This window comes from Homo sapiens, chromosome 5, assembly GCF_000001405.40.
Source record: "Homo sapiens chromosome 5, GRCh38.p14 Primary Assembly".
Lineage (NCBI taxonomy): Eukaryota > Metazoa > Chordata > Mammalia > Primates > Hominidae > Homo > Homo sapiens.
In genome coordinates, this window is record NC_000005.10 from 17,824,697 (window position 1) to 17,851,459 (window position 26,763).

At 35.6% G+C, this 26,763-nt stretch overlaps 1 long non-coding RNA gene across 1 annotated transcript in view; it reads left to right on the forward strand.

Moving 5' to 3' along the window:
• Positions 1 to 26,763, forward strand: part of LINC02223 (long intergenic non-protein coding RNA 2223) — a 123,216-nt gene that overhangs the window by 17,423 nt on the left and 79,030 nt on the right. The window contains exon 3 of the long non-coding RNA NR_134286.1: positions 25,487 to 25,677. This is a non-coding gene — a long non-coding RNA (long intergenic non-protein coding RNA 2223). The remainder of the gene's footprint in view (positions 1 to 25,486; positions 25,678 to 26,763) is intronic.

The window sequence follows — 26,763 nt, forward strand, 5'->3', positions numbered from 1 at the left end:
TTAGTCTGTTCTCACACCACTAGGAAGAAATACCCAAGACTGGGTAATTTTTAAAGGAAAGAGGTTTAATTGACTCACAGTTCCACATTGCTGGGGAGGCCCCAGGAAACTTACAATCATGGTAGAAGGCAAAGGAGAAACAAGCACCTTCTTCACAAGGCGGCAGGATGGAAAAATGCTGAGTGAAGGGGGATGAGACCCTTATAAAACCATCATATCTCATGAGAACCATCAGATTCATTATCATGAGAACAGCATGAGGGAAACTGACTCCATGATCCAGTTGCCTCCACCTGGTCCCACCCTTGACATGTGGGGATTATGGGATTATGGGAATTACAATTCAAGATGAGAGTTGGGTGGGGAGACAAAGACTAACCATACCGAACGTTCTTCACAGAATTAGAAAAAAAATTATTTTAAAATTCCTATGGAACCAAAAAAGAGCCTGAATAGCTGAGGCAATTCTAAGCAAAAAGAACAAAGCCAAAAGCATAATGCTATTCTACTTCAAACTCTACTATAGGAATACAGTAACCAAAACATCAAGGTATTGGTACAGAAACAGACACATAGACCAATGGAACAGAATAGACAACCCAGAAATGAAGCCACACCCAACCATCTGAATTTGGACAAAGCTGACACAAACAAGCAATGAAGAAAGGACTCCTCATTCAATAAGTAATGGTGCTGGAATAACTTGCTAGTCATATGCAGAAGACTGATACTAGACGCCTACCTTACACCACATATAAAAATCAACTCAAGATGGATTAAAGACTTAAATGTAAAACCTAAAACTATAAAAACTCTGGAAGATAACCTAGGAAATATCATTATGGACACAGAACTTGGCAAAGATTTCATGATGAAGACACCAAAAGCAAACAACAAAACCAAAAATTGAAAAATGGGATCTAATTAAATGAAACAGATTATCAGCAGAATAAACAGACAAACTACAGAATGAGAGAAAATATTTGTAAGCTATGCATCTGACAAAGGCCCAATATCCAGAACCTATAAGAAACTGAAACAATTTTACAGATTAAAAAGAAACAATCCCATTAAAAATTGGGCAAAAGGCTGGGCCAGGCACGGTGGCTCAAGCCTGTAATCTCAGCACTTTGGGAGGCTGAGGCAGGCGGATCACAAGGTCAGGAGTTCGAGACGAGCCTGGCCAATGTGGTGAAACCCCTTCTCTACTAAAAATATAAAAATTAGCCGGTCATGGTGGCAGGTGCCTGTAGTCCCAGATTCTTGGGAGGCTGAGGCAGGAGAATTGCTTGAACCCGGGAGGCAGAGATTGCAGTGAGCCAAGATCATGCCATTGCACTCCAGCCTAGGAGACAGAGCAAGACTCCATCTCCAAAAAAAAAAAAGTGGGCAAAGGACATGAACAGACACTTCCCAAAAGAAGACATTCCTGCGGCCAACAAACATGAAAAAATGCTTAACATCATTGATCATTAGAGAAATGCATATCTAAAGCACAATGAGATACCATTTCATACCAGTCAGAATGGCTATTACTAAAAAGTCAACAAATAACCAATGCTGGTGAGGCTGTGGAGAAAAGGGAATGCTTCTACACTGCTGGTGGTAATGTAAATTAGTTCAGCCATTGTGGAAAGCACTGTGACAATTTCTCAAAGAACTTAAAACAGAATTATCATCAGACCCAGCAATCTCATTACTGGGTATATACCCACAGGAAAAGAAATTGCTCTTCCATAAAGATACATGGATGCATATATTAATTGCAATACTATTTACAATAGCACAAACATGGAATCAGCCTAAATGCCCGTCAGCGACAGACTGGACAAAGAAAATGTTACGTACACCATGAAATACTATGCAGCTGTGAAAAAGACAAGATCACATCCTTTGCAGCAACATGGTTGGAGCTGGAGGCCATTATCCTAAGCAAAGTAACACAGGAACAGAAAAATAAATACCACGTTTGCATTTATAAGTGGGAACTAAACAACAAGGACATGTGGGTACTAGAAGGGGAACAGCAGACACTGGAGCCCACTTGAAGGTTGAGGGTGGGAGGAGTGAGAGGATCACATAAAAATACCTATCAGGTACTGTGCTTATTATCCAGGTGATGAAATTATCTGTATGCCAAACCCCCATGACACACAGCTTACCTATATAACAACTTTGAACATGTGCCCCCGAAAATAAAATAAAAGTTAAAATAAAAGGACTAACCAAAAAAAATTTTGCTGCTTTTTGTCTTCAGTTTTACCTCTTAGCTTTTTTATTTTTCAACTTTCCTAGTTTACCTCGTATTCTTTCTGATTTCTGCCTTAAGAAGAGATTAGAGCAAGTGATTTCAATGTTCTTTTCATTCCAGTAATTAGGCAAAGGAACTCAGAATTATCTGTAAATAGAAAAAGTTAGACAATGGTATATTTGACTTTCATTTAAAACCTGCAAACTGATAAAACAAAAAAAAGTCACGTTTAAGAAAGAACTTACAGTGTGAATTCTTTGTATTGGTAACTGATTTTTAAAAGCAGTATTCTTTTTATGAGATTCAGGCTTTCAATGAAAACAAAACTTCTTTTGGCATTTAAATTATCTAGAGTAGGATATTTAATTATTATTTTTCGATGCATAAGACCTTTGGAAAGGTAAACATGATTAACTCTAGCAAAGAACAGCGAGAAAAAGACAAATTTAATCTGTAAGTAATAGAAAATTTATTATGCTTCTCAGAGAACTGTTCTGTACATTAATATAAAAAAGCATAATTTAATTTACATGCCTTGCTGAATTTCCAAGGCACTGATGCTGGATCATCAAAGGAACAAGAATATTAGTATGCAAATAATTAATCTGAGGCTCAGCAGTCCTAATATATACACACTGAAATAAAAATTTTTTGCTACCGATGGAGGTTTTCAGTTCTGAGAACCTACTTCCTTTGAAATATCATTAAATTATTCCCAGTTTTCATTAATTCCTTACTTTATTAAACTAAGATGTATTACATACCTACCATTCACCTGAAACTGGGCTAGGCACAGAGATGCATTAATAAGCAAAAAGGTAAGATTTCAAGCAAAGAGTGTGGCAGAAGAGTATTAAGTGTGTCATTCCATATTGATGAAAGTGCTCAGAAGGAAAAGCCCATGACTCTTTGTGAGTTATAACAAAGGCATGGTTTAGGCTAGGGGGTTCCACACAGGTATCTTTGGGAAGTGAAGCTTTAGGTTGGATCTGAAGGGGAAATCGAAATTAAGAGGGGAAATGAGGGGAGGAGCCAGTCAGAAGGAGCACTCAGGCAAGGGCACAGCACATGCAAAACCCAGGTAGGAGAAAATATGTCACAAACAAGACACAAAGAAAGCAATTGTATGGTTGGAATGTCAAGACAAAATGGAGAGTCCTGTGGGTTGGAGGTGGAAATGTACTCAGGAACAGGACCAAATATTACAAACCATTTCAATGACTTCTGCCAAACGAACCCATTTTTCTTATTGCAAGTTAGTATCGACATTGTATGTGAGTACAGATAGTTAATTTTGGAACAAAATACAGCAAATATAGTGTGAAATTTGGAAAATAGGACATTAAGTATAATGTGAAATATCACAGGAAGCAAATGGAATATATTGTACCAACTAAGTTTCCATCATAATATTCCATGATGATTTTTCATTTAACAAAAATTTTGGTGATTTGGAAGAGGAGATGATATCTCTGTATCAGAAATGCTTCTGGCTGTAAAAAACAGAACTCCTGATTAACAGTGCCTTAAACCATATGGACATTTACTGTTTACCTAACAAGAAATGTAGAAAAATTTTTTCGAAACAACCAAGGATAAAGTTCCTGTTACCTTTCTTTCCTGCCACGCCTAACGTCTTGACCTCTCATGATTATGAGATGTTTGATATACCTCCAGAGAAAAAGAAAAATAAGGGAAAACCTATGTCCAAAGTAGAAAGAAAGGAGAAGAGGGAGTGAAAATTATGATTTTCTACCTCTAATTTTCATCAGGAAAGCAAAATACTTTCCCAACAAATCCAAGGCAGTCCTTCACTTATGTCTCATTGGCCAAAAAGCAATAATATTGCCACTACTCCTACCTGGCAGGGAGCTGTGAACATGAGAATTTGGCATGTCTCAGACCTTCAGTAGAAAGCGGAAAAGGGAGAAAGCAGAGGCGGTGCTGCCTGGTTATTCAATCAACAGTGCAAATGCCTGAAAAGACTGGGTTATGACAACACTTGCCCTGGAAACCAAGACAGACAATGTTTATTTTGGACAAAATTATGCAACAGGCTTCTGTTTCTCCAGTTGGGGTTTTGTGAATATTCTACAATAATTTCTTGGTTTTCTGTTTGGATTTTTATGATCACAGAGAAAAACTTGATGTTGGATCATACAACCACGTTGGATCACATGGTGACTGGACTAGAACCTACCCCTGTATTTGCTTGATGTTTAGATCACATTGACAGCAATAGTACATCTTTGATGGTGATCAGCTAATGAAAAGATAGCAGAACATGATAAGGAAAGTACACCATTCTTGTCAGGTGCGGTGGCTTACGCCTGTAATCCCAGCACTTTGGGGGGCTGAAGCGGGCGGATCACGAGGTCAGGAGTTTGAGACCAGCCTGATCAACATGATGAAACCCTGTCTCTACTAAAAATAAAAATAAAAAATTAGCCGGATGTGGTGGCTTGTGCCTGTAATCCCAGCTACTCAGAAGGCTGAGGTAGGAGAATCGCTTGAACCTGGGAGGCAGAGGTTGCAGTGAGCCGAGATAGTGCCACTGCACTCCAGCCTGGGTGACAGACCGAGACTCTGTCTCAGAAAAAAAAAAAAAAAAAAAAAAGTACACCATTCTTTTCCAGAAGTGAAGTCCAAATGATATCATGAAGCACTGTGCAAATAAAGGTTTCACGTGAGTTTGAGTAAAGTGGTAAGTGAATTGAGTTACCAGATGGCACACAGTAGCATAGGCATGCTAAATGCCTTCAAAACTATGATGTGGCAGTCAGTATGATATTCAAATTTCAAACAGATTAAGATTCAGCATGTCAAGATGATTCATCATATTAAATTAAAAACATTAATTTTAATTTTATTGGAGTAATAGTTTGGTTTATAATTTGCAGATTTGTTTCTTACAGCCAAGTCCTGTGAGCATAAGATGTTTATACCTGTTTTTATATTTATAAGCATTTAAGAGTATAGTGAAAGTAATACAAGTCAACACTGAGTATATGAGTTAATATTTTTTTCTTTAAAAAGATTCTGTTCAAATTTTAGCAACATTGTATTAGAGAGCCCTTCAAGTTAGTCATGGAAGACCCTAAAATTACCCTTGCCTGCCCCCATGTCAAGAGTAATTACAAACGTCTATTTCTGCCCTACTCTGTCTTTTGCTAGTCCACATTTTAAAAAGCAATGAATATACTCTTCCTGTGTGTCTTTTAGGCTTTGCCCAGGGATTTCATACTCCAGCTCAAGAAACAGATCAAAAGACACTGAAGTTTCTGAGTAGTGTCTGCTGGAGTCTTTTATTCAGTGTATACAATGAAGTGTTTACATTAGAGTTTTAAAGCTGGTAGTATTTATTAATAATTTGCTGAGGAAAAGTATTGGTCTTTATGCAGGAAGAGTTGTAAATGAAACTTGATTAATCTCTAATAGAAATCTAATGGATTTGTTCAAACAGAACTTTGCTTTTTCCTCACAGAAGGCAATAACCCATTTTCATGCAACAGCACAGTCAAGAGAAGTCTTAGAGGCTATCATGTTGTCTCTAGGAAACAGACTTCTGGAGGCTAAGTGCCCTGTGAAGGCCATTTCATAAGCTTATAGAAATATAAGGATTGGGACCCGGATGTCCAGAAGATTATGGGTCTTTTTCCTAGTGTCATATACCTAAAAAAAGGAACTGTCTATTTGGGGTGGAAGTGGGGAGTGAAAACATTTGTATTAAAAACTGGTTCACTGAGCAGTGGCCTATGCCTCTCTTGCGCACGTTCTCATTGCTGTATTATTGAATAAGTCAACACCATACTCACAAATTATGATCAATCTGAAGTGTGCATTTAGGAAAAGTGGTCCTCTAGTAAGCGCCCATCCTTTGCCGTCAAGAAAACAGTACTAACGATCATAACTGCTTTAAAGCCTCTTACAAAAATCTCTAAAGTTGATTCCACAATAAAATATTTACCAGAAAATATTCAATGATAAAAAAAGGCAGTCAGTACACACAGGAGATTGGTAAATGTTTAGGCTTTAAATAAATGAACGAGGGTGTCAATTACAAATAATTATGTTAGATAAAATAAGGCTGTGAGCAGTTCGAATGTTTCATATGGAATCATACCTCTGCACAAAGATAAAAAAACGGAGACATGACTGAAGAATCCGATTAAAGACTTTGGGGAAAAATTGATGTTTATTTTGAGCAAATCTTTCTTTAAAGTGGTCTTTCTAGTTAGCTGGTGTATCTTGACAGTCATTTGTGGTGGTTGCTTTTGTTTAAGTTGGGAGGCATATTTATGCTCAGCAATCACTACAACGTGCCAAATTTTGAAATATATTGGGCATGACTTAAATAAATACCACCCCCAAAATTTCCACAATTATAAGTTAGAAGATTCAGCTCTAAAACTCCAGATTTGCTAAATGACTCCTTAACACTGAGTGCAGCAGCAGCTGAGCAGTTTTCCTCTCTCTCCTGCAATCTGTATGTGTACCTGGCGGCCATATTTTCTTTTATCAGATACTGTTGCTGGGGCAACCACCTCCTTTGTAAGGGCTCAGGGTAGCTGCTTCTTTTTGGAAGGGGCCCCTGGGCTGGTTGCCAGATTTTCAATACTCAAATTCAGGATTCCACTGTAGCTTACTTAACCCTTTCACTGGCCTGAGAATAAATGGAGTGCAAAAGCTTTTTTAATTTTATTTTTTTAAATTTTACTTTAAGTTCCAGGATACATATGCAGAATGTGCAGGTTTGTTACATAGGTATACATGTGCCATGGTGGTTTGCCGCACTTATCAACCTGTCATCTAAGTTTTAAGCCCTGAATGCATTAGGTATTTGTCCTAATGCTCTCCCTCCCCTTGCTCCAGACCCCCTGACAGGTCCTGGTGTGTGTTGTTCCCCTCCCTGTGTCCATATGTTCTTTGTTCAACTCTCACTTATGAGTGAGAACATTAAATGTTTGGTTTTCTGTTCCCGTGTTAGTTTTCTGAGAACGATGGCTTCCAGCTTCATCCATGTCCCTGCAAAGGACATGATCTCATTCTTCAAACCACTGTTCAAGGAAATAAGAGAGGACACAAACAAATGAGAAAACATTCCATGCTCATGGATAGGAAGACTCAATATCATGAAAATGGCCATACTGCCCAAAGTAATTTATAGATTCAATGCTATTCCCATCAAGCTACCATTGACTGTCTCCACAGAATTAGAAAAAAAACTACTTTAAATTTCACATGGAACCAAAAAAGAGCCTGTACAGCCAAGACAATCCTAAGCAAAAAGAACAAAGCTGGAGGCATCACACTACCTGACTTCAAACTATACTGCAAGGCTACAGTAACCAAAACAGTTTTTATCCCAAAGGGAAGCAGAAGCTATCAGGTTACAAATCTAGAAATACTCTTTTACCAGGACACATACCGTGCTGAGAAGGAAAATAAAGGAGATTTTTGTTTTTAATAATTAAAGAGAAGAAAATCATTGTTGATGTTTTTCCAGGACAATTCACAAGGGTTATGATTTAAGTCCAATTTGTACTTCTCTGATTCTAACTCCGTAGAGGGCAAAAATCAGTTCACGTTAATGAAAGGAGTTTTAGTATAACCTTACTCTTCCCTACTGAGACACAAAATGTAGCATTATTACAGAAGAAAAAATAAAAGCTTCTTAATCCAGTCTTCTTATAATCATTTCAGTAAACTATATTTCTTGAGTTCCTTCTATCCTTACTTCCTTTATTGCTAGTCTCATTAGACTTCAAGGTTGAGAAGAGGCCTCACAGGTGTGTCTACCTTCTGACTCTTTCCAACAGTGAAACTGTTCACTTTATCTTTGAACTCTAATTATTAGAAATTTTTTATTTTTTGATGCAGTCTGAGTGAAACATCCATTTCTTTGTTCTACTTCTGTCCTTTGAAGTCATGTAGAAGAAATCTCAACCTTTATCCATATTACAGCTCTTTAGTAAAATTAAAAACAGCTGTTATGTCTCCCAAGTATGGCGGCCATGGAGTTTTGACTTCAAAAGACCTGTTGGGGGAGCGTACTTGATTGACAGCCTCCAATGGCTGCACCTTTGGATGCTTAGGGTCATGGAAGCCAGGCCATTCTTCCTTTGGGCTGCTTCCACCCCATGACTGAACACAGCTGCAATTCTAGAACAAAGCCATTCCTGTCCTATGGGAGATTCATCTAACAGCTAACTATAGCTTGCCAACTTTCCATGGGTCTGGCCAAGACGTTTTTTTTAGAACCTTGCTATGATTTGAAGCTCTTCGTATACAATCCTTCAATTCTTCTTTCCACAGGTGTCAGAGCTGTACCACAGCATTAAGACTCTTCCTATCTGTTACTCCTCTCTCCCCCTTTATCCTTGTATACATCATAGATATTTTTCTAATGAATCTCTTGTGCATCCAGTCCTATCTGGCTGTGTGCTTCTTGGGGGACTCACACAGACACACCAAGTGTGTTCTTTTTCAGGCTAAATATTCTCAGATAATCAGTCCTTAATATACATGTAGTGCTTTGCAGACCTTTGTCTTCCAGATGCATTCCAGCCTTTCAGGGTTCCTCTTAAGTGACGCACCATGGAGGAAAAACATTTCCCAGGACTGTTTGAACAACACAGAGCTACACTCATTGTCAGTTCTTGTATTCTGAGTACAGTGTTTTCTTAATGCATTTCAGGAAGGCATTAACATTTTGGGCAGTTTTATCACTCTGTTGATTCATACTGAGCATGTAGAAAGCCAAATGAAGAGTTTGGATTTAGTCAAATAAAATTCAAGAATACTTCAGCTGTCCTATTCAAGCGTTGTGGAATTTGAATCCACTAAGAGTTTTTCACATGCACTATTTGTAATAAAATTCTTCCTGTCCTGTCCTATACAGGCAATTAACCTAGGCATAGGTATTCACATCTGTTCTAAGTTTATTTTATTAGATAAATTCAGGAATTTCTACCATCCATTATATTAGCATTAGTATAAGCTATGCCTTGTACTTCCTGCCACTTTGGAATTTCATAAGTATGACAGCAATATTTATATTACAACTATTGACCAAAATGCATAGCCACCACGAAAGAGATGTCACAAGATAGGTTAAATCAATCATCACCTTTGGGAAGGGTCATTAATTCAATAACATATCTGCAAAATTGTATTGCCATTCATAGCATGTTTCTCCATCTTTTCTATAAGAAATTTTCAAGCGTATTACACAAACATAAGTGGAACACAGTTCAAATAATTTTCTTATTCTATAAATAAACTATAATAAAATACTATATGACTTGCTTTTAACCTATGTAGGTACTCAATATTTATTAATTTCTTCCCTCCTTATGGCATACATTCATATTTGAAGTTATTCTGAAATGTTAAAGGGATGGGATAATTTCTGAATATGTCTTACTATTATTAACAAAGTTTGCCTTGATACTAATTATGCATGTAAATGGTTAATAATATTTCAACTCATTGTGTAAAAGCAATTTAGTTGTAAGATTTTTTTTTTCTTAGTAAGACCCTTTTCAAAATGAGGTTCTTAGAAGGCAGTTTGTCAGATAATCATGACCAACCCCTTGCCTCCCCATCCCTACACAAAACAAAACCAAAAACCTCACTGAGAGGTGAAAAAGAATTCTAAGTGTAAAGAAAATTTCAGTTAACATGATTAAAGCTCACTTAGGTAGAATTTCTAAAACCTTTTGGTGTCTCTCATTTATCATTGTTAAAGGAATTTGGAGATTTGAAATACAAGATTATTTAATTCTTAGCAGTATTGTGTTTCCCATGGATAGTCACACAGAATGTTGACTTAGACTTTCCTGTTCTCCCTTCTTTGCTTTTCAATAACACAAATCATTTGTGGATATTGGTCAAATACAAGTTTCCAAGCAAAATATTTAAAAAGAGAACTAAATGAACAGAAATACATTTATTCTAAAACTACCAGGAAAGAGTATATGTTTGGAAAAAAAATGTAGTGTTTCCATTCTCTCAAGAGTTATATGTGTGTGTATCTATATCTATCTATCTATCTATATATATATCTCTATATATATTAAAGTTGGTGCAAAAGTAATTGCGGTTTTTGCCATTACTTTTAAATGTTATTTGGAATTGTCAGTGACATGAAAGAATTTTTTGTGATAACGGAAATACCTATCTTGATTGTAGGATTGTAGTGGTGGTTGCACCGATGTCTGCATTTGTCAAAGTGCACACACACAGGCACACACTTAACTATATACTTGCAAAAAAATTTGTATGAGGCAAAATTATAGTAATTTAAGTGGTATTTAAATTTTACCAAATATTTAAAATACATAAGATAAATTGTTAAAACTGGATCTACTATTACTGACAGTCACTTTTTATAAAATTTATAATATAAACTCACATCTGTAAAGATATCTACTGCTTGATTCTTTTAAGCATTTTAATCAAGCAGAGAATGAAGATGACACACATAGGCACATAGAAGGGATCATCTAGGGTACAGAATATTTATTTGAATTGTCCATTCAATTTAGGTATCCTCTTCCAAAATATCCTAAAAGATCGATTTTGGGGTGGAAGAAACTTTTTTTTTTTTTTAAAGATAGAGTTTTGCTCTTGTTGCCCAGGCTGGAGTGCAGAGGTGTGATCTCGGCTCACTGCAACCTCTGCCTCCCGGGGTTCAAGTGATTCTTCTGCCTCAGCCTCCCGAATAGCAGGGATTACAGGAGCCCGCCACTGTGCCTGGCTCACTTGTATTTTTAGTAGAGAAGGGGTTTTGCCAAGTTGGCCAGGCTGGTCTTGAACTCCTGACCTCAAATGATCTGTCCGCCTCGGCCTCCCAAAGTGCCGGGATTACAGGTGTGAGCCACCATGCCCGGCCAAGAAACATTTTTTTAAATTAAATTTATTGGGCTATTGTTTACAACCAATAAAATATCCCATTCTAAGAATATAGATTGGTGCATTTTGACAAGTGTAGACACCCCTGTAACCATGACTGTAATCAAGATATATATTTCCATCATCACAGAAAATTCCTTTGTGTCATCCACAGCTCCAGGTAACTGCCAATGTACTTTCTGTCACAATATATTAGTTTTCCTTTTCTATGATTGTATATAAATGTAATCATAATGTAAATGCTCTTGTGTTCTGGCTTCTAATCAGCACATTGTTGAGATTCATCCATGTTTTGTGTGAATGAGTATTCTGTTTTTTTTCTTTAACTTTTATTTGAAGTTTCAGCATACATGTGCAGGATGTGCAGGTTTGCTACGTAGCTAAACATGTGCCATGGTGGTTTGCTGCACAGATCAACCCATCACCCATGAATTAAGACCAGCATCTATTAGCTATTCTTCCTGATGCTCTCCCTATCCCTACCTGTGAGAGGTCCCACTGTGTGTTGTTGCCCACCATGTGTCCATGCATTCTCATCGTTCAGCTCCCACTTCTAAGTGAGAACATGCAGTGTTTGATTTTCTGTTCTTGTGTTTGTTGAGGGTAATAGTTTCCAGTTCCATTCGTGTCCCTGCAAAGAACATAATCTTGTTCCTTTTTATGGTTGCATAGTATTCCATGGTGTAGATGTACCACATTTTCTTTATCTAGTCTATCACCGATGGGCATTTGGGTTGATTTTATGTCTTTGCTATTGTGAATACTTCCGCAATGAACATATGGGTGCAAGTATCTTTATAATAGAATAATTTATATTTCTTTGGGTATATACTCAGTAACAGAATTGTTAGGTCAAATGGTATTTCTGCCTCTAGATCTTTGAGGAATTGCTACACTGTCTTCCTCAGTGGTTGAACTAATGTACGTCCTGACCAACAGTATAAAAGTGTTCTTTTCTATCCACAACCTTGCCAGCATCTGTTCTTTCTGGACTTTTTAGTAATCACCATTCTGACAGGTATGAGATGGTATCTCATTGTGGTTTTCATTTGCATTTCTCTAATGATCAGTGATGTTGAGCTCTTCTTCATATATTTGTTTTCCACATGAATGTCTTCTTTTGAGAAGTGTCTGTTCATGTTCTTTGCCTACTTTTTAATGTTTTTTCTTTTCTTGTAAATTTAAGTTCCTTGTAGACTCTGCATATTAGACCTTTGTCAGATAGATACATTGCAAAAATTTTCTTCCATTCTGTAGGTTGTCTTTTCAAACCGATGATAGTTTGTTTTGCTGTGCAGAAGCTCTTTAGTTTAATTAGATCCCATTTGTCAATTTTCGTTTTTGTTACAATTGCTTTTGGCATCTTTGTCATGAAATCTTTTCCAGTGCCTATGTCCTGAATAGCATTACCTAGATTTTCTTCTAGGGTTTTTATAGTTTTGGGTTTTACATTTAAGTCTTTAATTTATCTTGAGTGAATTTTTGTATGTAAGGTGTAAGGGAGGGGTCCAGTTTCAATTTTCTGTGTATGGCTAGCCAGTTCTCCCAGCACCATTTATTAAATATGGAATCCTGTCTCCATTGTTTGTTTATGGCAGGTTTCTTGAAGATCAGATGCTTGTAGGTATGTGGTCTTATTTCTGAGTTCTCCATTCTGTTCCATTAATCTATGCATCTGTTTTTGTACCAGTACCATACTGTTTTGGTTACTGTAGCCTTGTAGTATAGCTTAAAGTCAGGTAGCATGATGCCTCCAGCTTTGTTCTTTTTGTTTAGGATTGTCTTGGCTATTCAGGCTCTTTTTTTGGTTTCATATAAATTTTAAAATGGTTTCTTCTAATTCTGTGAAAAATGTCAATATTAGTTTAATGGGAATAGCATTGAAGCTATAAATTGCTTTGGGCAGTATGGCCATTTTCATGATATTGATTCTTCTGATGCGTGAACATGGAATGTTTTTCGATTTGTTTGTGTCCTCTCTGATTTCCTTGAGCAGTGGTCTGTAGTTCTCCTTGAAGAGGTTCTTCACTTCCCTTGTTAGCTGTGTTCCTAGGTATTTTATTCTCTTTGTGGCAATTGTGAATTGGAGTTCATTTATGATTTGGCTCTTGGCCAAAAGTGATGAAAGCAAGAAATTTGCTTTGCTTCCATTCTTAGAGAAAAAGTTTTCAGTTTTTTATCATTAAACATTATGTTAGCTGTGGGATTTTTAGAGATACTTTTTATTAAGTTGAGAACATTTCCTTTAATCAATATTTTGATATAATTTTTTTAATCAAAAGAGGTTTCAAATTTTTTGAAATGTTTGTTCTATATCTACTGAGATGATTATATAAAATTCCCATGTTCTTATGTTAATAGCGTGAATTACACATCAACTTTGCATTCCTGGGATAAACAAATTTCACTTTTTCAGGTTTCATTTTCTTGATGTTGTTGAATGTGGCTTCTAAATATTGTATTAAGAATATTGCTTCTCAATAATAAAAATATTATTAATTTTCTTATTAGTAATATTCTTCTTAATAGTAAGAATATTACTTCTTAATACCATGTTTTTGGTAGTCAGAAAAATGGCTCCCCCAAATATGTCCACATCCTAATCCACTTTATCTGTGACTTTGCTACATCACATGGAAAAAGGAACTTCAAAGATGTGTTTCAAGTTAAAAACCATTAGCTGGGGATTATTCTGCATTATCAGAGTGAGGCCAATCTAATGACAAGAGTCTTTAAAAGCAGATAAGCTTTCCTAGTGGTGGTCAGGGAGATGTGTCAACAGAAGCAAGGTCAGAGGAACGTGGTGTTGCTGGCTTTAAAGATGGAGGAAAACAGCTATAAACCAATACATGTGAGTGGCCTCTAGAGACAGGAAAAGGCAAGGAAACGGATACTGTACCAGAGCACCAAGAAAGGAATGCAGCCTTGCCAATCCTTGATTTTATTCCAGTGTGTCAGATTTCTGACCTACAGACCTATACGATAATAAATCTGTGTTAAGCTACTACGTTTGTGGAAGTTTGTTCCAGTAACAGCCACAACAAAAAACTAATACAATGTCCATGAAAGATATTTGTTGGTAGGTTTCTTGTAGTTTTCTTCTCATTTATTATCAAGGTAATACTGGCCGTATAAAATGAGCTAAAAAGTGTTCTGTCCTGTTAAATTTTATAAAAAGATTTGTATTATTTTGTGTTACTTCTTCCAGAAATGTTCAACAGATTTCACCAATGAAGCTATCTTAACCTGTACCTTTCTTTGTGAGCAGGTTCTAAATTAAAGTTTGAATCATTTAATGATTATAGAGCATTTCACAGTTTCTAAATTCTCCTGTCTGTTTTTACATTTCATATATTTGTTTATTTTAGTTAAAACTTTGAATTAAAATAATATTCCCTTAGGATTTTTTTAATGTCTGTAGGATCTATAGTAGTACTCCCTCATTTATTCTTAAAACTGTTAATTTGCTTCCTCTCATTTTTACTTGACCATTACAGCTAGAAATTAATCAATTCATCTACATTTTCAAATTAGCAGCTTTTAGATTTTTTATTTATTTTCCTGTTTGCCAGATTTTTATGTTACCAGTTTCTGCACAGATTTTTATTATATTCTTTCTTCTATATACTTTGGATTTAACTTGCTTGCTTGTTTCTTAAAATAAAACTTAGACCATTGATTTAGCCCTTTTCTAATGTAAGTATTTACAGCTATGTATTTTTCTTTACTCACTCTTTTATCTCCAATTTCAAAATTCTGATAATTTAATTTTATTTTCCTTCAGTTAAAATGATTTGGGTTTTCTTCTTTGACTCATGGAGTATTTAGAAGTGTGATGATTAATTTCCAAATACTTGCCAGTTTTCCAGACATTGCTTTTTCCCTCATATTGTTGTGTTTTATTTCAATTTAGTTTTATTATAGTCAAAGAACATACTCTGTAAAGTGTCAATACTTTAAAATTCATTGGGAATTGTATTATGACCCAGAAAATGGTATAACTGTGACATTTTCATATGCATTTGAACAGACTGTATTAGGCAGTAAAGGAATGTGGTATTTAAAAATATGAATTACATCAAGTGTGTCAGTAGTGTTCAAATGTTCTGCATACTTGCTGATTTTATGTTTACTTGAAATTACTGGAAGAAGAATGTTGAAATCTCTAAATGTAATTGGAAAGTCTCTACTTTTCTTTGAAGTTTGTCTGTTTTGCTTCACTACTTGAGCAGCTCTGTTATTAAATGAATACATACTTGGGATTATTATGTCTCTTTGATGAATTGAACTTTTTTTGTATTGTGGCTGTCCCTTTTTTCTTTTGGTAATGTTTCTTCTTATGAGGTTTACTTTCTCAAATATTACTATAGACATTTCAACTTTCTTATAATTGATGATTGAATGATATAAGTTTTTCCATTCTTTGGCATTTAAACTCTTGGCCACTTTATAAATAAGTGGAAAGAGAAATTGATTAATGGGTACAAATAATAGATTTTCATAGAAGAAATAAGATCTAGTGTTCAATAGAGCAGTAGGGTGACTATACAATAATCAATTGTATTTCAAAATAGCTAGAGGAGAATAATTAGAATGTTTCCAGCATAAATCATTAAAAAGTCAGGAAACAACAGGTGCTGGAGAGGATGTGGAGAAATAGGAACACTTTTACACTGTTGGTGGGACTGTCAACTAGTTCAACCATTGTGGAAGTCAGTGTGGCGATTCCTCAGGGATCTAGAACTAGAAATACCATTTGACCCAGCCATCCCATTACTGGGTATATACCCAAAGGACTATAAATCATGCTGCTATAAAGACACATGCACACGTATGTTTATTGCGGCATTATTCACAATAGCAAAGACTTGGAACCAACCCAAATGTCCAACAATGATAGACTGGATTAAGAAAATGTGGCACATATACACCATGGAATACTATGCAGCCATAAAAAATGATGAGTTCATGTCCTTTGTAGGGACATGGATGAAATTGGAAACCATCATTCTCAGTAAACTATCGCAAGAACAAAAAACCAAACACCGCATATTCTCACTCATAGGTGGGAATTGAACAATGAGATCACATGGACACAGGAAGGGGAATATCACACTCTGGGGACTGTGGTGGGGTCGGGGGAGGGGGGAGGGATAGCATTGGGAGATATACCTAATGCTAGATGACGAGTTAGTGGGTGCAGCGCACCAGCATGGCACATGTATACATATGTAACTAACCTGCACAATGTGCACATGTACCCTAAAACTTAAAGTATAATAAAAAAAAAAAATTAAAAAAAAAAAAAAGAAAAAAGAAAAAAGAAAAAATGTTTCCAGCATAAAGAAAAGAAAATATTTAAGGTGGTGGGTATCCCAATTACATTGACTTAATTTTTACAAATTATGTAAATGTATTAAATTGTCATGTGCATCCTGAAAATATGTACATTTATTGTGTATCAATAAAAAAATTTAAAAGTGATATACAGATAGCATGTATTTGCTTACAGACAATATATAGTTGGTAACTGTTTATTTGGATCTTTTCTCTTTTCTTCTTTATTAGTCTAGCTAGTGACCTATCTTATTAATCTTTTCAAAAAACCAATTCCTGAATTCACTGATCTTTTCAATGTTTTTTCATGTCATGATTTCTTTCAGTTCAGCTCTGATTTTGGTTATTTCTTGTCTTCTGCTAGCTTTGAGGTTGATTTGTTCTTGCTTCTCTAAGTCTTTCAGTTGTAATGTTAGGTTGTTAATTTGAGATTGTTCTAAATTTTCAATAGGGTGTTTAGTGCTATGAATTTCTCTCTTAATACTGCCTTAGCTGTGTCCAGAGATTCTGGTTTGTTGTATCTTTGTTCTCATTAGTTTCAAAGAACTTCTTGATTTCTGCCTTAATTTCATTATTTACCCAAAAGCCATTCAGGAGAATGTTGTTTAATTTTCATGTATTTGAATTGATTTGAACAATTTTCTTAGTCTTGACTTCTATTTATATTGCACTTTGGTCTGAAAGTATGTTTGGTGTGATTTCCATTCTTTTGCCTTTACTGAGGATTGTTTTATATCCAATCACATGGTCAACTTTAGAGTATGTGCCATATGGCAATGAGAAGAAGGTATATTCTGTTTTTGAATAAGAGAGTTCTGTAGATGTCTATTGTATCCATTAGGTGCAATGTTGAGTTCAGGTCCTGAATATCTTTGTTAATTTTCTGCCTCATTGATCTGTCCAATACTGTAAGTGGAGTGTTGAAGTCTCTTACTGTTATTGAGTGGGAGTCTATATCTCTTTGTAGGTCTCTAAGAACTTGGTTAAGGATCTAGGTGCTTCAGTGTTAGGTGCATATACATTTAGGACAGTTAGGTCTTCTTGTTGAATTGAACCCTTTACCATTATGTAATGCCCTTCTTTGTCTTTTTTGATCTTTGTTGGTTTAAAGTCTGTTTCATCTAATATGAGCATTGCAACCCTGCTTTTTTCTGTTTTTAATTGGCTTGGTAGATTTTCCCCCACCCCCTTATTTTGAGCCTATGTGTGTCATTTCATGTGCGATGAGTCTCTTGGAGACAGGATACCATTAGGCCCTAGTTTTTTATATACCTTGCCACTCTGTGTGTTTTAAGTGGGGGCATTTAGCCTGTTTACATTCAAGGTTTTTATTGATATATGTGGATTTGATAGAATATCTCCCCAGAAAATGTGTTTTTATTCTCTATCGCATTGTCAGTCTGCAAATTTTTCAAACTTTTATGCTCTGCTTTCTTTTGAACACTTTACTGCTTAGTAATTTCTTCTGCCAGATACCCTAAATCATCTCTCTGAAGTTCAAAGTTTCACAGATCTCTAGGGTGGAGGTAAAATGCTGCCAGTTTTTCTTTTTGCATAGCAAGAATCACCTTTACTCCAATTCCCAAGAAGTTCCTCATTTCCATCAGAGACCACCTCAGCCTGGACTTCATTATCCATATCGCTATCAGCATTTTGATCAGAGCCATTCAGCAAGTCTCTAGGAAGTTCCAAACTTTCTCACATTCCTGTCTTCTTTAGCCCTCCAAACTGTTCCAACCTCTGCCTGTTACCCAGTTCCAAAGTTGCTTCCATATTTTCAGGAATCTTTATAGTAGCACCCAACTCCTGCTACCAATTTACTGTATTAATGGATTCTCACACTGCTAGGAATAAATACCTGAGACTGGGTAATTTATAAAGAAAAGAGATTTAATTAACTCACAATTCTGCATTGCTGGGGAGGCCTCAGGAAACTTACAATCATGGCAGAAGGTGAAGGAGAAGCAGGCGCCTTCTTCACAGGGTGGCAGGATGGAGTGAGTACAAGCAGAGGAAATGCCAGACACTTATCAAACCACTAGATCTTGTAAGACTCACCCATTATCATGAAATCAGCATAAGAGAAACTGCCCCCATGATCCAATTATCTCCACCTGGTCCTGCCCTTGACACATAGGGATTATGGGGATTACAATTCAAGGTGAGACTTGGGTGGGTACATAGAGCCAAACCATATCAATTTGCTTATCTTAAAAGTATCTCATTTCTTCTTTGCTTAGAAAACTTAGTTTGGCTGGATATGAAATTTTTGGTTGAAAAATTTTTTCTTTGAGTGTTGAATATAGGCCCCCAATCTCTTCTTGTTTGTAGGGTTTCAGCTAAGAGGTCCACTGTTAGTCTGATGATATTCTCTTTGTAGGTAACCCACCCTTTTTCTCTAGCTGCCTTTAACATTCTTTCTTTCATTTCAACCTTGGAAAATCTGATGATTATGTTCTTGGGGTTTATCTTCTTGCACAGAATTTTCCAAGAATTCCATTTGTTTCCTGAATTTGACTGTTGGTCTCTCTAAAAAGGTTGAGGAAGTTTTCATGGATGAGATCCTGAAATATGTTTTCCAAGTTGTTTGCTTTCTCCTCCTCCCTTTCAGGGATGCCAATAATTCGTAGATTTGATCTCGTCACATAATCCCATACTTCTTGGAGGTTTTGTTCATTTCTTTTTATTCTTTTTTCTTTATTTTTGTCTGTCTTATTTCAGAGAATTAGTCTTTTAAGTTCTGAGATTCTTTCCTCAGCTTGGCTTATTCTTCTCTTAATACGGCTAATTGCATTCTGAAATTCTTGTATGGTGTTACTCAGCTCTGACAGACCCATTCAGTATTCATATATATATATATATGTATGTATATATATATATGTATGTATATATATAAATATATTTATATATTCAATTTCATATATTATATATAATATATACAAAAATATATAAATATATAAAATACATATATTTCATATGTCATATAGATATATGTGTGTATATATATATATACACACACACATATACACACCAGCTATTTTATCCTTCAGTTCTTGTATTGTATTATTGTGATTCTTATTTTCCTTGGATTGGGTTTTGCCATCCTCCTGAATCTTGATGATTTTGTTTCTATCCATAGTCTCAATTCTATTTCTGTCATTCCAGCCAGTACAGTCTGGTTACAAACTCTTGTTGGAGGACTGGTGTGGTCTTTTGGAGGACATACAGCATTCTGGCCATTTGAGTTACTGGAGTTCTTGCATTGGATCTTACTCATCTCTGTTTGTAGGTGTTCCTTTAACTGCAGTGTAGATGGAGTACAGTCAATAGACTTCTTTTTTTGATATGTTCACTAGGCTGAGGCTTTATGCACGGTTTTTATTTGAAGCTGACTTCTTGTCTCTGGTATCAGAGGTGGGTATATTAGTGAAGCATTTTGGTGTTGAAGGTTTAGGGTGTGATTCAGTAGGTGGTACTTAGGATTATTGGTCAGTTGGTAGACTGTTGCTCAGTTGTGTAGCTCCCTTGTCTTCCCTCACAGTGGCTGTTGTGTTCCCTCTCAATGCTCTGAAAGTGTGAATTCCTCTCCCACTAGAGTGCTGGCATAAATTGTGACTTGGCAATCCTGGGCTGTCCACTGCAGCTCTCAGGCAATCTCAGGGTTTATATTCCTTCCCCATCTTAGAGGCAGCAGAGGAAGGGACCTTAGTAAGTGCTTGTGGCCAAGTGTGTTTTGCTTGTCTCCTGGGGGCTCCACCCCAGAGAGATGTAGATCAGTAATTGCTCAGTGCAGTCAGCCCAGGATGGAAAGTCTGAGCTGTGGGCCCAAGCCAGGGGTTCCCTATATGGTGACAGGCAGTGGGAGTTGTGTGAGACCCATAAAAAATGGAGTGACCTCCTTTCCTTGGGTCTACTGAAGCTTGTTGGAGGTGTAGATAATGCATTTAGGGTCTTTGCTCCTTCATTAGTCTGAGAGTAGTAAGGGTAGATCCACTGGATAGGCAGTGGCAGAGAGGCTTTCAGTTGCCTCTGGAGGCTCTGTCCAGGGAGTTGCTGAGTTGGTGCTGGCTTGATAGCTCTGGTGAGGGGCTGGCTGGAGGCCCAGGTCTGAAGGACCTGCCTGGTGAGAAGATAATGGACACCCCCGTAGCCGTCTGGCCAGTTTTCTGTCGGGCTGCTGTGATATGTTGGGGTCCCAGTCCAGTCACTAGTCACCTCAGGTTTTCCAGTACCTAGAGGTCAAATTTTGATTTGTTCTATTTTTATCTTCTATTCCTCCTCATTAACATCAGGTTTTCCTTTAAATATTTCAGGAAATTTATAAAAGCTCTTTCAAAGTTATTGTCTACTAATTTCATCTTCCCTTCCATTTCTGAATGTTTCTATTTATTGATTTTTCTTATGTTTATGTGTCACATCTTTCTACTTCTTGTAATATATAGCACTTTTTATGGGAAGCAGGGCATTATAATAGTATGTTGTTGAATACTTGGATTTTGTATTTTCTTTTAAAGAGTGTTGGATTTTGTTTTGGTGGACAATTAAGTTATTGTGGGTAAGTTTGATCCTTTTGTAACTTACGTATAAACTTTATTAGAGTGGACCTAAATTAGCCTTTACCCTTAAACAAGCTTTAATATAGGGGCTGGTATATGTCTATAATTATGCTGTACACAATGGTTAGGATGTTCCACAAAGTGTCTCTATTCTTCCTAGTTGAAACTCAAACATTTCCCAGACCAATGTGAGTCCTGGAAATTATTCAGCTTTCTAACTCTTTGCCTCATAAAGTTTCACCCTATGCGTATGTATCTTAGTATTCAGCAACATATTTAAAGGAATGCCTATGTGTATTTTTGGAACTCCTTTTCTTAGTAGCATCCTTTTTCTGTGCTCTGTCTTGAAAACTCCAGGTATCTCAGCCTTTCTAAACTCCATCTGTCTTTTCAAACCAGTGAGGCGATGGTGTTCTGCTTGGCTTTCTTCCCCCTACTCCATGGTCTAGAAAATGTACCGGGTAGAAATCTAAAGTGACCAAGGTCTCATTTTTTCTCTCCTCTCTCAGATATTACAGTATTCTACTGTCTAATGCCCAATGTCTAAACTCAACTTTTAAATATTTTTTTTCAGTTTTTTAGCATTTTTTTAAATGGTGGGAGGGTAAGTTATTATTTCATGTCCAAGGACCAGCACCCATTTTTAAAAAAACAGATTGTTTCTAAGCTCTGTTTGAAGTTTTATGGTCAAAAATGATTGATGTTTTCTTGAAAAACTTAAATTATGTCATGTTCTGTTTTTATATATTAAGCTGGAATTTTGCTTCCTATAACTTTTTCACAGATTACAGTTACATCTTAAATCTGTAGGCTTCAGCTACATCGCATAGGTCTGTTTCTTTCTTTCTTTTTTTTTTTTCACATGACAGCTGTTTGAAATTTGAAGACAGAAAGTGCTTTTTTTTTTTTTTCCCGAGAAATGGTTTTCTGAATCTTTCATAATCTTTGATACTTTTTGGATATTGTCAGATTCAAAATATTTTTTCTAAAATATATTTCCTATAAATAATAAAAGCATTCCAGATGTGGTCTGATGAAATCATGCATATGGAATTGATCTTGTGTTATCAAATGATTAATAACTTTTATTTAAATATTGTTACTAGCACACTACCATAGAATCTATATAACTTCAACAAAATGCCACTTTTAACCTCTTTTTTTATTACAAAATATAGGGTTATAGAATCACAGAATTCGAGGGAGAGAAAACTATTGAGAACAGTTTGTGCAACTATGCCATTCTACTGAGAAATTTTTTTTTTTTTTTTTTTTTTTGAGATGGAGTCTCACTCTGTCGTCCAGACTGGAGTGCGGTAGCGCAATCTTGGCTCACTGCAACCTTCACCTCCCTGGTTCAAGCAGTTCCCCTGCCTTGGCCTCCCAAGTAGCTGGGATTACAGGCATATGCCACCACACCTGGCTAATTTTTTTTTGTATCTTTAGTAGAGACGGGGTTTCACCATGTTGGCCAGATTGGTCTCAAACTCCTGACCTCAGGCAATCTGCCCGCCTCGGCCTCCCAAAGTGCTAGGATTACAGGCATGAGCCCCCACGCCCGGCCTCTACTGGGAAATCTTTATGGCCTTCCTGTCACTTTCAGCAGAGCCCAAAGTCTTAATGGTGCAAACACAGCCTTGTCTACTTTTCTTCATTCATTACTCATCTTTGGCTCTATGATTTTTTGCTTCAGTAATCTGTTTTGTATTTCATAAATAGATTTCTTTCAGGGTGTTTTTTCCATGCTATTTTCTTGCCTAGAATGTCCTTTCCAACATGATTTCTTACCTAAAATTACATATCCTTTAAGAATCTTTACAGATACTGATTCATCCAGGAAGACTTTCTTCTTTTTAAAGCACTAAGGATGAGTTAGCTGCTCCTTCTCTTGCACCCATAATTTTTTTAATAACTCTGTCACTGCATTTAGTACATTTTACCATAATATCTAATGTACTTGTCTATCGGGAATACTGAGGATCTTGACTAGTATTATTTATCATTTTATCACTAGTGTTTAGTAAAACACCTGGGACATAGCATAAGTGAAATAAATGGCTATTAAGAAGAAAATGAGTTTTACAAATTGGAAAGTTGATTTCTGAGAAACTAATTGACTTGTCTAAGGACACAGAGCTAAATCATCATAATCAAGTCATAGAACTGAAATTCTACATGTTTTTGAAATCATAGTTTAATTTTCAAAATTTTAGTTTTTGCATCTTAAATAGAGAAAACTCATGCCAGGCAACATAGTTTCCTAGAAAGTAGTGTTAGGCAAATATTTATGTTTTAAGACTTTCCTGGGGAGTGTAGTCTTTGAGATGTGAGAGAGAGGGAAAAGAGAGTGAGGCAGGAAGTAAAGAAAACGAATATGATGGGGTGTGTTACTGAGTTAGCTATCACTTGACATCAAGTATAATGACTGTTTAATTTGGTAAGACTATTGCTGGGGAGACTGCATGATCTGCTGGTCTTATGACAGTCCTTCTAGAGAGAGGAAGGGAGACAATTTATGTGCCAGATTTGTCTCTTACTGATCTGAGATTGGTTCCACAAAGATTGTCTCTCTAAGCTTATAGATTGAATATGCATGACTGTCAACTGGGTTCCAGGACATCTTTAAATGTCAGGGAGGACTTATTTCAATTTGCTTCAATTGTACCATCTTCATGTGAAAAATATCTCACAACTTTCTTATATAGTTCTTATTTGTTTTATGAAATTTTTACATAATAGGATCGGCTCTTTGCTAAAGTTGAGTGTGCATTTTGATTCTTTTTCCTCTCAAGCATTTTTGAGCACTAGAGTGGAGAAAAGGAAGTAAACAGAAAAATGGCAAGTATGATGCGTAATGAATTAAAGTTATTTTCCCCAAAATTTCCCCTAATTTTCTAAATGATAGAAACCAAATAGAAGAGCCTTTTTTGGGAAATAGTGTTATTCCTAGAGATCCCTAAGAGCTTTGATAGTCATTTTAATTCATCATTTTTAGAAGTTCTAAACTGCTTTTCGTTTTTGAATTTGATAATCGTCATTTACCAATTTCTCCTACCCTAAGAGATAGTATATAAAACATGGTCTATAGTAGACTATTGCCTGGACAGAAAACAATGGCCAGAAAACAAATTAACATGTAAAAACATGCTTAGTCAAGGCTTTTTGATTCCCTTATCAACTCTTCAGAGATAAATATGATTAAAAGTTTGGTACATATTCTTCCAATTTTTATGCAACTTATGTGCAAACTTACACCTAGAGAAACTTTTCTATATTCCCTGCTCTGTACCTAGTCTCTTAAGCTAGCTAGCTTTCTTTTCTCTTTCTTTTTTTCCTTCCTTCCTTCCTTCCTTCCTTCTTTCCTTCCTTCCTTCCTTCCTTCCTTCCTTCCTTCCTTCCTTCCTTCCCTCCCTCCCCTTCTTTCCTCTTCTTCCTTCCTTCCTTTTTCTTTCTTTCTCTTCCTTTTTCTTTCTGTCTTTCCTTCTTTTCTTCTTGTAATTACACACACTACTGTGATGATTATTCTACCTGCATAATAACTTTGGGTAAATTTGTGTGTAATCACTAAAAGTGGAATTGTTAGTTCAAAGGGAAGGCAAGATAGGTATTGCAAAATATATTGTACCATTGGACCCTCCTTAAATGGTTGAGAATGCCCGGTATCTTCCTCATTCAAATGAGTATTAAGTATTTTAATCTTTGCCAATCTGATGCATAAAAAAATCATTGTTCTGATTTGTATTTATTTGATTATTAAGATTCAAGATCTTATTAATTGTTTATTGGTCAATTCTGTGAATTGCTTTTTGCAAGTCTTTTCATGTTTGTTTGTAAAATTTGTAAATTATTTATTTTTATTCTTTTTTATTTACAAAGATAGGTCTATTTTAGTATTAATTTGCAGACATTTTTGCTATTTTGCATAGTAACCTATTTCAAATGGATTGAAAAAAATTTTTCCATTACTTTAAAATTTGCTTATAGTGTTTTATAATTTGGCTTATGGGATTATTTGTTATGAAACATTTAAATGACTAAGTTCCCAAATGTATTGATCTTTTCTCTTTATAGTTTCTGTGTTCATATTATTATCATAAAGATCTTTTTCATTTTAAAATTATAAAATATTTTTATTTTTACATTTTAATCTTCAAGTTGTCTTGATTTTGCTTTTGAGCATAACAAGAGGTTGTGTAATACCTTAAAAGACATAGTGACTCCAATTTCTGCACACAAAACATATTAGGTAGTCTACCTATTACTCATAGATTTAAAAGGTAATCTGTATTATATGTTGGAGTTTCATAAATCTTTGGGATCTCATCTTGTCTACTGATATATACTCTTATGTGCTATTATTATATAATTTTATTATCATGAATTCATAGTATATTCATACATTTGCTTAGTCATTTGTCTGTTTTAGGTACCATGTGAAGGCCTGGGCATATAACATGAAACAAGAAAGATAAGGCCCGTGCTTACATAGAACTTGGTGAAGAATCTAGACCATAACAAGCACACAGAGAAAACGTATCACAAATTGTGCTAAAGTTCTGTAAAGGGATTAAGATGAAGTGTCACAAGACTGAATTAGACAGAGTGCCCTTGAAAGAGGTCAGTTGATAAACAGTCTTTATTTCTTATGCAAACTGAATTCCCCTTTATCACATAACAGAACATATTTACAGGTTCTAGGGATGAGGCCATGAACTTTTTCAGAGGCTCATTATTCTGCCACCTGCAAGAGGAGAGAGAACTGTAGTGCTGTGTGTGAGAGGAAACCTGGCATGAGCTGGGGATGGAAGCTATGGTCTTTTTTATTATGGCAAAGAGTTTAGATTTAAGTGAAAACAGCCATGGTGGGGGGGTTTAACAGGGCCATACTATGATTTGATGTAAATTTTCAAATGTCTATTTTTAACACTGTTTAATTTTCAATACAATAATTTACTCTTAGATGTTAACTCTAGAACAGAAAAGCTAAAAGTTTTTCAAAAAAAAACAAAAAAACGAGGAATTTTGATTGAACCATGCTGAATTTATTGAACTATTTTATTAAGTGGTGCCTTAATATTTAGTCTTTTGATTGTACAGGATTTATACTTCCATTTATTCATTTGAGTTTTTAAATGTATACTTTTTAAAAATATTCTTTACCTTGGAACTGTATATTTCATGTGAGATTTAACCTTAGATGTTATGTAAAATTAAAAAATATTTTAATGTTGTATCACTGATTATTTTTAGTTAAATTAAGTGCTCTTGATTTTGTATATTTTTCAAAAATCTAGTAACCTAGTAAAATTTGCTTATTCTAAGAATTTTCACTCAATACTTTTAGGCTTTCCAGGTAGACAATTTTCATATAATCTTAATTCTTTCATTTTATATTTACATGTTTAACTTAAATTGCACTGACAAAGGCTTACAGTATAGAAGTGATAAGTGTAGGTATTGATTAGTAATGAATGCTTACTTTATTAAGTGACTTACTATAGCATGTATCATTTTTGTCCGTTAGTGTGTAATGCAATGAATTACATCATTATATTTCCTCAGTATTAAACTATTTTTTATTTCTGGAAGCAATGAATACTACTTTTCTCTTGGTACAATATTCTTTTACTTCTGCCAGACTTTATGGCTAATATTTACCTTTATGATATTAATAAAGTATCTATATGCATAAGTGATGTTTAT